We start from the raw sequence: 17,381 nt of genomic DNA on the forward strand, positions 1-17,381 counted from the left end.
TGCATCCAACAAGGTCTAATGTCCAAAATCTTAAGGAACTTAAATCAACTAGCAGATAACCCCATTATAAAGGGACAAAGGACATGAACAGACACTTCTCAAAAGAAGACATACAAGTAGCCAACAAACATATTAAAAAATGCTCATAATCACTAATCGTCAGAGAAATTCCTATCAAAACCACAATGAGATACCATTTCATACCAGTCAGAATGGCTTTGTTAAAAAGTCACAAAATAACAGATGCTGGCAATGCTATGGAAAAAAGGGAACACATAACACTATTGGTGGGAGTGTGTAAATTATTTCAGCCATTGTGGGAAGCAGTTTGGAGATTTCTCAAAGACCTGGGAGTTGAACTACCATTTGACCCAGCAATCTCACTGCTGGGTATATACTCAAAGGAAAATAAATTGTTCTGCCAAAAAGACACATATACCCGTATGTCCATTCTAACACTCTTCACAAGAGCAAAGACATGGAATCAACACATGTGCCTATCAGTGGTGGATTGGGTAGAGAAAATGTGGTACACATACGCAATGGAATACTATGCAGCCATAAAAAGAACAAAATCATGTCCTTTGCAGCAACATGGATGCAGTTGAGAATCATCCTGTGGGAACTGATGCAGAAAAAGAAAACTGTACACCACTTGTTCTCACTTACAAGTGAGAGCTAAATATTGGGTACACATGGTCATAAATGAGAACAGTAGACACTGGGGAATACAAGAGGGGGAGGAAGGGAAAGGAGTAAGGGTTGAAAAATAACTACTTATTAGATATTGTGCTCACCACCTGCAGGAGGGATTCATTTGTCCTCCAGACCTCAGCACCATCCAGTATACCTATGTAACAAACCTGCACATATACCCCCAGATTCTAAAATAAAAGTTAAAAAATATTCAAATAACCCAAAAGACAGGAAAGGGGAAACAGGGATTAATGAGAAAACAAATAATAAAATGGTAGATTTAAGTTCTTACACATCAGTAATTACGTTGAATTTTTAAATGCTGTAAACAAATCAATTAAAAGTTTGTCAAGAGTCCATAGAAAAAACCCACTTTATGCTGTCTATTGGAAACTTACTTTAAATATGGTATAGGTGGGTTAAAAGTGAAAAGATGGAAAAAGATATAGCATGCAAACACTATTGGAAAGAAAACCCTAGTGGCTATATTAATAACAAAGCAAACTTCAGAGCTAAGCTAATACCCAAATAAAGAGGAACATTACATATTGATAAAAGAATTGATTTGCCAATCCTAAATGTGTAAGTAGCTAACAACAGAATTTAAAAATAGATGAAGCAAAATCTGATAGAACTTAAAGGAGAAATAGGGAATTCAATAATTATAATAGAAAATTTCCACATTCTTCTCTTACGAATAGAACTAGTAGACAGAAATTACTAATGGTATAGAATGCTTGAAGGTGGTCTGGGCGTTGTAGCTCATGCCTGTAATCCCAGCACTTTGGGAGGCCTAGGCAGGTGGATCACTTGAGGTCAGGAGTTCTAGACCAGCCTGGACAACATGGTGAAACCCCCTCTTTACTAAAAATACAAAAATTAGTTGGGTGTGGTAGCACGTGGTTGTAGTCCCAGCTACTAGGGAAGCTGAGGCACGAGAATTGCTTGAACCCAGGAGGTGGAGACTGCAGTGAGCCAAGATTGTGCCACTGCACTCCAGCCTTGGTGACAGGGGTGAAACTCTGTCTCAAAAAAAAAAAAAAAAAAAATGCTTGAAGGAGACTATCAACCAGATAAATCTAATTGACATTTGTAGTATGCTTTACCCAATAATAGCAGAATATACATTCTTTCCAAGTACAGAAGGAACTCAGCATTTATAATTGAAGACTTCAAAATTCTTTTCTTAGGAATAGATAGAACTAGTAGACAGAATCACCGGGGGTACAGAATGTCCGAACAACATTATCAACTAGATAGATCTAATTGACCTTTATGGAATACTTTACCCAACAGCAGCAGAATATACATTCTTTCCAAGGGAACAATGCTCTAAGACAGACTGTATCTCGGTCTTAATACAAACCTTAACAAATTTAAAAGAATTGAACTTACAAAAAATATATTCTCAGATCATAATGGAAATATATTAGAAATCAGTAACAGAAAGATAACACAGAAATCTCCAAGTACTTAGAAATTAGACATGGCTGGGCGCGGTGGCTCATGCCTGTAATCCTAGCACTTTGGGAGGCCGAGACGGGCGGATCATGAGGTCAGGAGATCGAGACCATCCTGGTTAACGTGGTGAAACCCCATCTCTACTAAATATACAAAAAATTAGCTGGGCGTGGTGGCGGGCGCCTGTAGTCCCAGCTAATCGGGAGGCTGAGGCAGGAGAATGGCGTGAACCCGGGAAGCGGAGCTTGCAGTGAGCTGAGATCGCGCCACTGCACTCCAGCCTGGGTGACAGAGTGAGACTCCATCTCAAAAAAAAAAAAGGGAGGGGGGAGCGGGGAGAAACTAGTCAAAGAACAAATAAACCCCAGTAACAGGAGAATCAATGAATTAAAAGCAGTAAAACAGTAGCTAAAATCAGTGACATTAAAAGTTGAGTTTCCTTTTTTATAGATCAGTAAAATTGATCATCTTTAGCAATACAGCAGAAAAAGGGAAGACATAAAAAACTAGTATCAGCAACCAAACGGGATATCATTACAAACTCCACAGGAATTTTAAGGATAAGTGATACTAAAAAACTCTATGCACATAAATTTGACAACTTAGGTGAAATAGACTAATTCCTTGGGACAGTAACTACCAAAACTCACCTAAGATGAAACAGATGATCTTGTATAGTCTTTTAACTATTAAGTTGAATTTGGCCGGGTGCAGTGGTTCATGCCTGTAATCCCAGCACTTTGGGAGGGCAACACGAGGGGATCACTTGAGGTCAGGAGTTCCAGACCAGCCTGGCCAATGTGGTGAGACCCCGTCTTTACTAAAAATACAAAAATTAGCTGGGCGTGGTGGTGCATGCCTGTAGTCCCAGCGCCTCAGGAGGCTGAGGCTGGAGAATCCCTTAAGTCTGGGAGGCAGTGGTTGCACTGAGACAAGATGGAGCCACTGCACTCCAGCCTGGGTGACAGAGTGAGACTCTGTCTCAATCAAAAAGAAGAGTTTAATTCATAATTAATAAAAAAAGAAATATTAAACTCCTGAGCTCAAGTGATCCACCCACCTCAGCCTCCCAAAGTGTTGGGATTGCAGGCATGAGCCACTGTGCCTGGCCTAAATTTCATTTCTTAATCAAATGCTAAACTTTCTCATTTTTCTCTTGTTCATAACTAGGAGTATTCATTCACTTGTGCAGTAATATTTGAAAGACAGAACACATTTCCTATACTTAAAATCTGTGAGCAACTTTCTTTTTGACCTTTTGTAATCTACTTCATCTCTTGAAATCTGTTTTGTTTAAATTTTAAAGACAGGATCTCTCTCTATCACCAGGGATGGAGTGCAGTGGCACCATCATAGTTCGTTACAGCCTCCGTCTCCTGGGCTGAAGCGATCCTCTCGCCTTGGCTTCCCAAAGTGGTGGGATTACAGGCATGAGCCACTGCACCTGGCCAGAAGTCTGTTTTTTTTTTTTTTAAACATATAAAATAAGGGATGATATTACTTTTCTAAATAACACATGGGTCAATGAAGAAATCTCAAAAGAAAGTGTTTTAAACTAAATGAAAATGAAAAGTTTATCAAAATTTGTGATGCAACAAAAGCAGTGCTTGGAAGGAAGTTTGTAGCATTGAATGTAGAAACTAGACAAAAGATTGAAAATTAATCATCTGAGCTTCCACCTTAGGAAGCTAATGAAGTACAAATTAAATCCAGTATAAGCAAAAGAAAACATGATAAAAATTAAAGCAGAAATCAATGAAATTAAAAATAAGAAATCAGTGAACATAAAAACTGGTTCTTCAAAAACATAAAGGATGATGTTTTTCCAGTCTAACTTTGTTTTTATTATCTGTGCCTCCTTATTAATGATTTCTAGTACTGCACACCAAGCCTGATTATTTTTGCCACTGAGGTATGATTTGTGTCAAATTTACCATTACCAGGGCTTGGCTCCTATTTCTTCATTTTAGTTTTTCACTGCTGAAATTCTTTCTTAGTGCTTTATTTTGCAGTTGTCCTGTTTATTATGACTCTACAGCCATTTTTTTCCTAGAAATAAATTTTGCCTTTTCTGTAATTATTCTAGTGCTTTTATTTTTAAATTTTTAAAAATTTAAAAAAAATTTTTTTTTTTTTTTTTTTGAGACGGAGTCTTGCTCTGTCATCACCCAGGCTGGAGTGCAGTGGCGCGATCTCGGCTCACTGCAACCTGTACCTCCCAGGTTCAAGTGATTCTCCTATCTCAGCCTGCTGAGTAGCTGGGATTACAGGCATGTGCCACCATGCCTGGCTAATTTTTGTATTTTCAGTAGATAGGGTTTTGCCATGTTGGCCAGGCTGGTCTTGAATTCCTGACCTCAAGTAATCCGCCCACCTCAGCCTCCTACAGTGCTGGGATTTCTAATGCCTGTTTATATTTCATTGTCCAGGAATTCCACAAATTGTATTATTTTTTGTAGGTTTCACAGATTTGAATACCAGCCTCCAATATTTCAGTAAGTATTTCCACCAAAAAGGACGTTCTTCTACTTACACCACATTATTTTAACAAAGAAAATTAACAGCAATTCGCTGACATGATTTCTATTTACATTCCCCAGATTGTCCCCAAAATGTCTTTCATAGATTTAAAAAATATTCGTTGGATTTGATTGTTGCATGTTTTAGTTTCTTTTCATTTAAAATAGTTTTCCTTATACCTGATGTTTCAGAAAGCAGAGCACCTGTCTAGGGATGTCTCACATTCTGGATTTGTCTGACTTTCCTTGAAGGGTCATTCATGTGTTCCACTCTCTCCCATTTTTCCTGAAACATTAATTTTTTTGTCAGTAAAATTTCTTAATTGATGCTATATATCATCACATCAATAGGACATATTTTCGAGTGACTGGTTCCTAGTTCTGCCTGCTTCCATTGTTTATTCTAGAGGTTGTCTTTTTTGTAAGAGTTCAAGGAGAAAGCCACAGGAGAAGGATTGCCACTGTCTTTGGAAAGCCATAGGAGTAAAAGAGTGAGTCCAGATATGGAAGGTGTTACAACAACCCTTACATAACTGTCCGGATTGAAGGAGAGCATGAAACTTTCTAGAAAGAGAGAAACCAATAAGCCTTGAATTTGAATTTGAGATTATAGGTATTTTGAAGTTGAGAAGCGTATCTATGTCCCTAGTTTTTCTAAATATAGTTTTCATTGTCCATGTTCAGAAGTCAATGATTGGAGCACAAGTGGTGACCTATGCTTAGTAGCTCTAAAAGACTAAAATTAGGAGTTGTCTCAATAGGCAAAGACATGATGGTGATTGTGTTGTGTGTGCAAGATGAAGAGATGGGGTGGGAGTTGTTGGGGGTATAGTTACCTGTTCCACATGCCCCATGAGAAAACAAACACTTCTTGCACATCTTACTGTCCAGAAAATTGAGAACACAAAGGAATAACCAAATACGCTTTACAAAAAATAAAAAGCCTCCGTGTTTCCTCCCTAGGCGAGTGCCCTTAAAATCATACTCAATCACAATGTTTACATTATTTACTATATAAAGTCTATTAAAACAAATATTATCCACCTAACACATATATCTTCATATTCATAAACCTGAGATTTTCTGTGTAGTGACATCTACCTATGTTGATTGACTATAATTAATTGACTCCTTCTGTATTTTTTGACACAATACAGAGTACTGAACTAGCAAAAGACAGTTATCGGTCAAGCATGTCATTTCTAGATTCCCACATAGATATATCCCAATTCAAAAAGAAAACTAAGTGACTTGAGAGAAGTTTCTAAAAGCTTTCCTTTTGACTGACGAACTGTCAATCGAAACGGAGACTTAGTTTTCATTCTCTGTCTCTATAAGGTTTCACGTTTAAACAGATAAATAAAGCAGACAGTCTATGGCGCTTCTCATGCTGTACTACTGTAGCAGTTTGCAGGTAATGATTGATTCAGATGAATCCTTTACATACTCGCACCTGCAAAACCAACAGATGATATGAATTCTGTATCTGAGAAAAGAGGATCACTTCTAAAATCAGTGAATTGAATTTACTGGTAAGCTGAGAGTTTACCATTTAAAACTACTGTACATCTTTCATAGTATGCCACTACTAGGTTAACAGCAAACTTAGAAAAATTCATTCTTCTACAAGAGGAACATGATAATTTCCTAAGGGCTTTTATATGAGAAATCTAACCAACATTTATTCATTTCTGAAAACTTTTTCTGCAGATGCCCACTTTTCTATGGGTTGAGGAAATCTGGAGGTAATGTAACATAGGGTAATGGGTAACTTCAGTGGCTTCTCAGTCAAGGTAGTATGGTCTATAAAGTTGTCATGGACACCGAATTAGTGAATACTGAACCACTGCTCCTAGGGGAAATACAGGGTTAGGTACCTGTGAGCATCTGGTCACAGCATTTTTGTTAACTGATCAATACATGTTTTATGTGTGTTTCTGTTTAAAGACATATATATTGTTGATTCATTAACATTGAGCTCACAATCAACAAAACAATAACTCATTCCTGAACTAAGTTTATCTAACACAGCTATTTTCTCCATGATGCACATTGTAGGTTTCTTGTGCTTGAGAACACTAGGCAGCACTTACAATGACTTGGGGGCCATGAAATAGTGAAATCATCAACAAAAACACAACAATGCAAAAACGTGGCACAAAATAGGCTACTGAAAGGACTCTTGTTTACATTATAAGAGCTGAAGCAAGAAAGCCTATTCGTTGTCTGCTGGGAATGTGCATGTTTGGTGACTCAGATTTTTTGTTATCCCGTGTGTGTCTGCAAATGACTGGAAGACCCAGCTACTGTACAAATAAATTTTATTAAATAGGCAAAGTTGCATATATTGAATCCGTGAATAATGAAGATCAACTGAATCTAATGGTCCTTGGGTACCTATGCAGACTGAAGAAGGAAGCTAGTGTTCTTATTTATTTCCTTTGCTTTCACCTTCTTCCTCTCTCCTCAGTATTTGGTTGGCTTCATAAGCAAACTTAAAATCAAATAGAACCTTTTCTTGAGATTCCATTTTGTAAAGGTTTGTTGGCTCGGGCTTCTTACATGGTAGTGCATCAGTCTGCCTTCATTTTGAGGGATAGATGGGCTGTTGACCTTAACTGAAGAAAATTGGTTTTTGTTTTTTTTTCCTCAGTGATGTAATTTCTATAAAGAGTGACTCTCACTTTAAGTTATGATAAACTTTTGCTTTTTTCATATAATTAATTTTAGCTGTATAATTATTCTCTTCTCTCCTGAGAATATTGATAATTAAAAATTGAGCTAAAGAACCTAAACGTAGGTCTTAACATTTGTTCATTTCTTTCTTTCTTTTTTTTTTTTTGAGATGGAGTTTTGCTCTTGTAGCCCAGGCTGGAGTTCAATGGCACCATCTTGGCTCACTGCAACCTCCACAGTTCAAGCGAGTTCAAGTGATTCTCCTGTCTCAGCTTCCCGAGTAGCTGGAAATGCAGGTGTGCACCACCATGCCTGGCTAATTTTTTTATTTTTTATTTTTTTGAGGCGGAGTCTAGCTCTGTCGCCCAGGCTGGAGTGCAGTGGCGCGATCTCAACTCACTGCAAGCTCCGCCTCCCAGGTTCACGCCATTCTCCTGCCTCAGCCTCCTGAGTAGCTGGGACAACAGGTGTGTTCCACCACGCCCGGCTAATTTTTTTGTATTTTTAGTAGAGACGGGGTTTCATTGTGTTAGCCAGGATGGTCTCTGTCTCCTGACCTTGTGATCCACCTGCCTCAGCTTCCTAAAGTGCTGGGATTACAGGTGTGAGCCACCGCGACCGACCCTATGCCAAGCTCATTTTTGTATTTTTAGTAGAGATGGGGTTTCACCATGTTCATCCGTCTGGTCTCGAACTCCTGACCTCAAGTGATCTGCCTGCCTCGGCCCCCAAAGTGCTGGGATTATAGGCATGAGCCACCGCACCCGGCCCATTCATTTCTTAAATTGTGAGTTTACATTCAGTTCTCTATGTTTTCAAGAAAATTTAGAAATTCATTCTGATCTTTAGAGTATTAGCTATACTATATGCTGTTTTAGAGGACTGTTTTTTCTTCCATTCATTGAAAGCATTTTATGTTCAAAACTTTGTGCCTGAGGGAGAGATACCAGCCAAATATTATGATATAAATATCTCTCTACTACTATTTTTAAGGATAGTCTTTCCTTTGAAGACATATGATCAGGGTGTCATTATTAGAAAAACATTAGTTGATACTTCCTAGTATTTCTGGGTGTTCTTAGGTATTCTTTAAATAAACAAAAATAGATAAAGCAACAAAACCCATGGTGGAATATTTGGAGAACCCTTGATTAAACAAAGTTAAATTGATTTCCTTAGCATACCTCTTTAATACTCATGTACATTTTTTTAATCTCCCAGAAGAATTCTAGTATTGCATATACTATATAAACACTGCACGTGTTTCCTAGATTTATATGATTGTGGTATTTTTTGTGAGAGGTAGCTTAAGGGATCAGTGGTCTGTGGAATAAACTTGAGGAAATGCTGACTTAGCCTTCCTTCAACTGTCTCCCATAGATCTCATTTCTGCTGTTGTAGCAAAACAGAATGAACCTGTATCCTCCTCTATATAACAGTTTTTGAGTATTTTAATAATTTTTTAAAAATGTATTTTAATTTTTGTTTTTGTTTTTATTTGTAGACAGGGCCTTGGTCTGTCACCCAGGCTGGAGTGCAGTGGTGCAGTCATGGCTCACTTTAAGCCTTGGCTTCCTGGGCTCAAGCAGTCCTCTTACTTCAGCCTCCTGAGTAGCTAGGATTACAGGTGCATGCCACCATGCCTGGCTAATTTTTAGATTTTTTTGTAGAGACAGGGTCTCACTATGCTGCCCAGGCTGGTCTCGAACTCCTGACCTCAACCCATTCTCCTGCCTTAGCCTCCCAAAGTGCTGAGATTACAGGTGTGAGCTACCACCCTCAGTCTGAGTATTTTACGGAAGCTAAATAGTCACCCTAAGCTTTTTATTTTCCAGGTGAAAAGTCCGCTGCCCTTCAGTGGATTCTTATTATACTCTTATTTGGTAGACCTTTTTTCCAAACTTACTGTATTTTATTGGATATATTGCTATTACTTTTATTAGACTGTAAGGTCATTTATGACAAGGGATGTCTAATTTTTCTGTGGTTTGCAATGTCTGTCATAGTACCATTCATGTACTATGTGCTTAATAATAAATTGAACTGAACACTCTTTTATGATTTTTATTTCAGTATATTATCACCACAAAAATTAAAAGGAACCAGTGATGTAATAGATATTTAAAATTCCATGTTGAGATTAGATAAGGTTTTTATTCTCACGGACTATACTTATTTTTACCAGAAATTATGACTTTGCCAGTACTGGATTTAAGATTGCTATTAATTTTTTTTTTGAGATGGAGTTTCGCTCTTGTCACCCAGGCTGGAGTCCAGTGGTGCTATCTTGGTTCACTGTAACCTCTGCCTCCTGGGTTCAATTGATTCTCCTCCCTCAGCCTCCCGAGTAGCTGGGATTACAGGCGCCTGCCACCACACCCAGCTAATTTTTGTATTTTTAATAGAGATGGGGTTTCACCATGTTGGCCAGGGCATGGAGGCTCACGCCTGTAATCCCAGCACTTTGGGAGGTCGAGGCAGGTAGATTACTTGAGGTCAGGAGTTCGAGATAGCTATTCATTTAAAATTACTTTCCTTTTGAAAATGATTGGCTGGGTGTGGTGGCTCGTGCCTGTAATCCCAGCACTTTGGGAAGCTGAGGAGGGTGGATTGCTTGAGCTTAGGAGTTTAAGACCAGCCTGGCCAACACAGCGAAACCCCATCTCTACCAAAAATACAAAAATGAGCGAGTGTGGTGGCATGCGTCTGTGGTCCCAGCTACTTGGGAGGCTGAGGTGGGAGGATTGCTTGAGTTAGGAGGCAGAGGGTTGCAGTGAGCCGAGATCGCACCACTGCACTTCAGCATGGGTGACAGAGTGAGACCTCATCTCAAACAATAACAGCAGCAACAACAACAAAATGAGATATGGCAATTAACAAGCTAGATAAAGCATATTTGGCACCATGTTAACTAGATTTTTTTAGGTAAGTACTTTGAGGAATTACTGCTTCGTAATTGTGTCATTTGTAAGGTTAATGAAATGTTTTAAAGATCTTAGCTTCTTTCAGAGTCTATACATTGTATTCTACAAAGTATAGGTATTCACATCGTATGTGAAACATTTCCTCAGTTTCTTTTTAAAGAAAATTAAGTATCCTGATATATAGCTAAATATTCTTCTGCAAGAAACAGTAAACCATGTAGATGAAAATAAGGTTATTTCCTTATCTACCAATATTAAAATGTTTTCAGAAAGGCAAGCATGGGGTCAGTATTTTCTGTCTTTCCCCACAACTATTTGTAGAAAGACATTCCTAGCAAACTACTTTGAGTAGATAAAAACAAAAAAGGTATGATGTGTTCTGTTTGACGTGTATTCTGTTTGAGGAGGACAATCAGTAAAAAAGATAAAATGAAGAATTTGTTTAAGAGAATTTTTTGGAGTATGGTAAATGTTCTTCACGTTGTTATAAGAGAAAGAATTATGTATTGAGATCCCTCACCCTGCCATAAACTGTTAATATTGGACAAGTCACTTTACCTTTTTGGTCCTAAGTTTCTTCCTTTGTAAAATGAAGAGGTAGTATTAGATTATCCCTAAGGTCTTTTCCAGCTTTCCAGTGATTTTTTTGTATAATGAAAACTGACTAATATGATAAGTCTGAGATGCCGACAGATTGAGAAATACCTTCTGAAAACTCAAGGAAAATGATGTAACAAATATTTTTCCTTCTTTCTTTCTTTCTTTCTTTCTTTCTTTCTTTCTCTCTTTCTTTCTTTCTTTCTTTCTTTCTTTTTCTTTCTTTCTTTCTTTCTCTCTTTCCCTCCCTTCCTTCCTTCCTTCCTTCCTTCCTTCCTTCCTTCCTTCCTTCCTTCCTTCCTTCCTTCCTCTTTCTTTGTTTCTTTGTTTCTTTCTTTTTTCTTTCTTTCTCTCTGTCTCTCTCTCTCTCTCGCTCTCTCTCTCTCTTTCTCTCACTGGAGTGCAGTGGCATGATCATGATCATAGCTCACTGCAATCTTGAACTCCTGGGCTCAAGCCATCCTCATGCTTTTGCCTCTTGAGTAGCTGGGACTACAGGCACATGCCACCAGGCCTGGCTGATTTCTTTTTTTTTTTTTCCCTGTAGAGATGAGGTCTCACTTTGTTGCCCAGACTGGTTGTGTACTCCTGGCATCAAACATCAAACATTCCTCCCTCCATTTCCTCCCAAAGTGCCGAGATTACAGGTGTGAGCCACTGTGCCTGGCTGTGTGTTTTTTTGGATATATTTTATTGTCTTAATTTTTTAAAAAATTGTTATTTGTGTTATATATGGTAACTCCACTCACATTAGCCATGTAAAAATACCCTTTTTTTTTCTTTTTTTCGAGACAGGGTTTTGCTCTGTTACCCATGTTGGAGTATAGTGGTGCAGTTATAGCTGGGTTGAAGTGATCCTCTTGCTTCAGCTCCCAAGTAACTAGGACTACAGGCATGCACCACCATGCCTGGCTACATTAACTATTTTTACTCAATAGGTTTTTCTTGAAGCCATCATGATTAATGAATGCTTATTTTTAAATTTTCTTAAATCCTTTAGACATTAGTTTATTGAAGTCCTTATTGTCCAAGTATTCATAATCCCAGGTTTTTACAGGTAGAGATTACAGAGGGAAACAAAAGTTTTCATCTCTACAGTCATTTCCATTCAAACATCCCACAGCTGTAGTGTCTAGCCATGTCCATTGCGTCAAAATCTTTATTGGTTGCTCTCTAGTGACAGTATACTTTAAATTGAACATAAAGCAAAATTGTAGATAATGCAAAATTGCAATATTTCATGATGTCCATGAAAGGGCCTTTGGTATCTAAAGTGGTTTAGATACCAAAGAATTAAGAGGTAACTTTGTGGAAAATTTACCTTTGTTTGGATAAGCAAAGTCAACTTGTGTTGATTCTCCTCAGAATTAGCACATGGTTATAATAATGACCTAAATTTGTAAAATAAAATGCTATAAGCTCTTCTAAAAATAATTTTCATTTTGAAGTTAAAGTCCCAGTCAAACCTTCTTTTCAATACTTAACTATGAAAATTTGGTCCTGCTTTTTTGTTGTTGTTTTGAGAGAGGGTCCTTCTCTGTCACTCACGCTGTAGTGCAAGGGTATGATCCTGGCTTACTGCACCCTCTGCCTCCAGGGCTCAAGCAGTCCTCCCACCTCAGCCTCCCAAGTAGCTGGGAGGACTACAGGCGCACTTCATCAAGCCTGGCTAATTTTGTATTTTTAGTGGAGATGGGGTTTTGCCATGTTGCCCAGGCTGGTCTCACACTCCTGGGCTCAAGCAGTCTGTCCTCCTCAGCCTCCCAAAGTGCTGGGATTACAGGTATGAACCACTGTGTGTGGCCTAATGGTCCTGTTTTTATATGGATGAACTAGGTGGCTTTTAAAAAAATCCAGTGCCAGTTATCTGTGAATCCTAAGTATTCTGTAGATTTATAGCCAAAGATGAGAATGGCGAAATTTCCTGATACACAGTACTATTTTTGCTGTCACCATTAGAAAGCATTTATTGAATATTCTTCTTTACTGTTTGTATGTGGTGTGTTAAATTGATGCTCTTACCTTTACAGCAAGGGAGTTGGAGAAAACAGAAGAAACACTGAAAAAATATCAGGATTATAGACAAGCAAAGATTAAGTTCACGTAGGACATTTCTTAATTTCTCAACTCAAATTTATTGTGCTACATGAAGTTCTAGGTTCCACAGGTGATGTCCTTTTTGTCCCTGGATGGCTCATATACTTAACCCAAGTCGAAGTTAAACATTTTTCATAGAATTTTCCACATACAATTTGAAAATAACATAAAGCTCTGTGTGACTCTATGTAAAACTAACTGTTTTATGGATGAAATAAGGTATTTGGATTTATATATTTGAGGGTAAATATAAGTAACCTGTTGGGGAAAGCACAGGGACTCTGTAAGTGTGGAAGTCAGGTTTACAGGTAGTGCGTTCTTTATCCATTGTGAGTTTGGACATTTAACATAGGTTTATGAGCAAGTTCTGACTCTTTACTCTGCATAACTGATTTTATTTCCTTTTGCACGCAGTACATGTTTTACTTAGTTGTGTCCAATCCCAAAGTCCCCTCCCTTTTTTTTAAAAAAACTCCTTAACTATAAGAGAAGGCCAGGGAATGTTCAAAATCTAAAATTTGGACTCAAGTCAAGAACATTGATAAAACATTCATTATATTTGCTGGTGGGCAAGCAGAAGTCAGCCTGTAATTCCAACACTTTGGGAGGCCACGGCAAGAGGATTGCTTGAGGCCAGGAGTTCAAGAGCAGCCCCCATCTCTACCAGAAAAAGTCCAGAAAACAAAAATAAACAAGACATGCAGCCTATCTTTAAGTTAAAAAAAATTATTTATAAAAGTAAGATTTTAAAATAAGCCTGCCATAGTACCGATATGACAAAGAGTAGAAAAAAGGGAAAAGGAAAGACACATTAGAAGCAGTTCACTTTCTTTCACTGGAAGAGGATTTTTTGACTCTTAGGTGGTCAGAGCTGATCTCTTTTGTAGGAGGTACTTTTTTATGAAGGGAAGCTTTTTTCCTGCTCCTTAAAGCAAAAATAAGGAAAATTGTTACTGCCTAATTTGCTGAGTATTTAAAAACAGCTCCAGGGTGAGTGAGAAACGTGTTTACTGAAGTTCATGGATAGTTTCTGATATGACTGATGTGGCCAGTCTAGTTCTAGAAAATGTTTGGAGACTCTTGATTTAGGAGGATGATTAAAAACCATTCTTTCAGGAGGGTAAGTCCTCAGATGTTCTTGGTGTTGTATAACTTAAAATATAATTTCTGGTAGTTCATGTGGCCCCATTTTTATGTAGTCGTATTGCTGTGAGTCAGAGTTGGACAGGTAGAACTGAACTTTTAAAAATTTTTACGAGTTGGAAAATTCCCAGGTCCTTTTTAAGGTAAGTGAGGTGGGACTTTGAGTTTGTGCTGGCTTTCTACTGGACTTAACTTGACACCATCAATCTAGACTCTGTATAAAATGGTTCATAAGAATTTTGTTCACTGTAGCAATCATTTTTTAAAAAAATTAAATGCTGAAGAAACAAAAGATACTAATGTGGTTTGGGTGTTTGTGCCCTCCAAACCTCTATTTGAAATGTGATTCCCAGTGTTGGAGGTGGGGTCCTGCTAGGAGTAATTGAATCATGGGGGCAGATCCTTCAGAATGGTTTAGAACCATCTGCTTGGTGATAAGTAAGGTCTCATTCAGTTAGTTCATGTGAGATCTGGTTGTTTATAAGTCAGGGATCCACCCCCTCTTGTTCCTGCTCTCCCCATGTGAGACACCTGCCCCCCGCTTTTCCTTCTATCATGATTGTAAGCCTCCTGAGGCCCTCATCAGAAGCACATTCTAGGTCTTTGCTTCTACAGCCTGCAGAACCGTGAGCCAATTAAACCTCTGTTCTTTGTAAATTCCTCAGCCTCAGGTATTTCTTTATAGCAGTGTGAGAACGGCTTAATAAAAAAACTGTGTTTTACAAAAGCATCTCCACCCTCCACAATTAGCCAGAGGCTTCCTTCATTAACAAAGACCCTTGTTCTTACCCCTCAAGAAGAAACCCACCATAACCAGCCCACTGTCACCCCTAATTTGCAGACACCAAAACAGTCCTGGAATGCTAATTACAGGACCCCCCAGTCTTCCTACCCTCTCCACCCTCAAGAAACCCCCAGTGCCTTGTATGCAAAAACTGATTTTCAGTTCAGGTGATTACAGAGAGTCTGTGGGCAGACTTTCCATCAATTTTTAAAGTATTTTATGATTTCAAGGGCTTGTAAGAGAAGTGATTACATTTTGAGAAACAGCTATGAAAATGGATTTGGATGTGTTTTCCTACATTTCTTCATGTAATTAATTCATATTCTAACCTTGCTGCTTGTAATGGTGTGTATAGGAAATGATACTTTTACTGATAGGATCTCTGAATCATTTATAAGTGTTTGTATTCTGCTATTAAATTTCAGGACAGCATTTTCTTCTTAAGCAGGGATCTTAATAGGAGAGTATCTTTCTGGTTTTTAATTTGCTTACAGAAAATGGAATACTTACATGGGGAATTTCTATTCTGATTAGAAATTAAAATATAAAAACCACATAAAACAGACCATGAATAATCTAACATTTAATATACTACATTAATATATATATTCAATTACTGTTATTAGAAAGAAAGAAGTGTTGTCCTAGCCTGGAAAATAATGGTAATAGATATATACACTGAGATATTTAATATGTTCATAACTTGGTATGTATTTTTTTAAAGGAAAATATTTTGGTTCAGTTAGAACTGTTAGAGAAGTAGTGGTAGCTTTTTCATTCTTCCGTATTGTTTCTTCACCTATTAAGATATATAAGTAGAAACTATTATTCTAACTCTTGTACGCCGCATTGATCTACAAGTGTGGCTCTCAGGAATTATTAACAGATTGGAATCCATGGGATGCCTGAGATAGAGTTTAGTGTGCAGGATATTCATTGAGTACCCTTTGGATCAACATCTGTGAAACAGAGGGGAAGGAAGCAGGATTGGACAGAGGGAAAAGTTGAGTTGTGATTCGGTTCCAGTGACATCCTCGACTAAGTCCTCAGCTGGACTTCAATTTCTAGGCCCTTATATAGCTTTGCATTGGTTGTGGGCTGCCCTGGGAAAGGAGCATAATCTTGGGCAATCTGCTCAGGCAGCCTGAGTCCTCCATTAAGGGGAACTTGGTGGTTTGTCAGAATACTCTCTACAGGAATATTCCATTGAATCTGGTTTGGTTTCTTTGCTTATTTTTCTTTCTAGTTTCCCTTATGCTTCAGGGATCAGTTATATTATTTTTCTTTATTTTTCTGTGATCGAGAGTAAGAGGCTCTGATTTAACTGCTTTAAAGATTTACTAAGTCTCTAAGAGTTAGTACTTTTAGAAATTGTTTTGGGATCATTATATGTAAGATACCGCAGATTTTTTTTTTTTATGTGTGTGAAACTGTATGATAGTATGGTATTTCCATATACATAGTCTCTTCTCTAGGTTTCTTGAGATAATCTGCCTCAGATGGCGTGGCAGTGTGTTAGGAAGGCAAAGAGAATAAAAATTAATATTTGGCATCAGACTTTCATTTATCCAGTAAATATTTATCGAGTGCCTACTATATTCCAGGCAATGTTATATAGACTTTGGGGAAAATAGAATTTTGCAGTAAGAAAATGAGCTTGACAAGCAGGTATTGCCACAATTGAAGCATTTTTTCCTTTTATACTGAGTCTTGCTCTGTCACCCAGGCTGGAGTGCAATGGCACGATCCCGGCTAACTGCAACCTCCACTTCCCAGGTTTAAGCAATCCTTCCGTCTCAGCCTCCCAAGTGGCTGAGATTATAAGTGTGCGCCACCATGCAAAAATTAGCCCAGCTGATTTTTGTATTTTCAGTAGAGATGGGGTTTCACCATGTTGGCCAGGCTAATCTTGAACTCCTGATCTCAAGTGATCTGCCTGCGTCAGTCTGCCAAAGTGTTGGGATTATAGGTGTGAGCCACTGCCTCTGGCCCAGTTGAAGTGTTTCAAAAGTCCTGTAGCTCATGAAGATCCGAGCCTGAAACAGTGAAGTAAGAGGATTTCTTCCATAATGTAGAGGAGATAACTATAGTGTAGAGAAGTTCATTAGACTTCTTTTTACCTGAAGAAACTACTTGTGCGTTTTTAAGTTAACACCTAAATTTCTAAATTACAAGTTGAATAATTGCATAAGATATAATTTGGATGTTTGGTATTGACATTTAAAAATAAAGTGGTTGCATTGCTCTTTTAAATGTATCCAGTGAAATCTAAATACCCTAGCAATTGGATACTTGCTTTCATCTCTTTTTTAAAAAAAAATGCTAAGGTGCAAGATGTTGGTGTTACAAAGTACTCTTAAGTTTCTGATGGAGAGGACACTACTGTATTTCAGACTTGTGGCTCCTGCCAAAAATTGACATTGTTGTGTTGCGATGATCTAGGTCACGTTGCATGGGTTCCTGTCTGCTGCTGGCATCTTGACT

At 38.1% G+C, this 17,381-nt stretch overlaps 1 protein-coding gene across 24 annotated transcripts in view; it reads left to right on the forward strand.

Annotated features, from left to right (window-relative positions):
• TCF12 (transcription factor 12) overlaps window positions 1-17,381 on the forward strand; it is a 373,221-nt gene that overhangs the window by 78,643 nt on the left and 277,197 nt on the right. For 8 of the 24 annotated variants that reach the window (XM_011521960.4, XM_047432971.1, XM_047432972.1 and 5 more), the window contains one exon: window positions 4,617-4,652. The exons of the other annotated variants lie outside the window; for them this stretch is intronic. In XM_011521960.4, the coding sequence (XP_011520262.1) occupies window positions 4,617-4,652 (36 nt within the window). The remainder of the gene's footprint in view (window positions 1-4,616; window positions 4,653-17,381) is intronic. 24 annotated transcript variants of the gene reach the window in all.

Source organism: Homo sapiens, chromosome 15 (assembly GCF_000001405.40).
Source record: "Homo sapiens chromosome 15, GRCh38.p14 Primary Assembly".
In the NCBI taxonomy this organism is placed as follows: domain Eukaryota; kingdom Metazoa; phylum Chordata; class Mammalia; order Primates; family Hominidae; genus Homo; species Homo sapiens.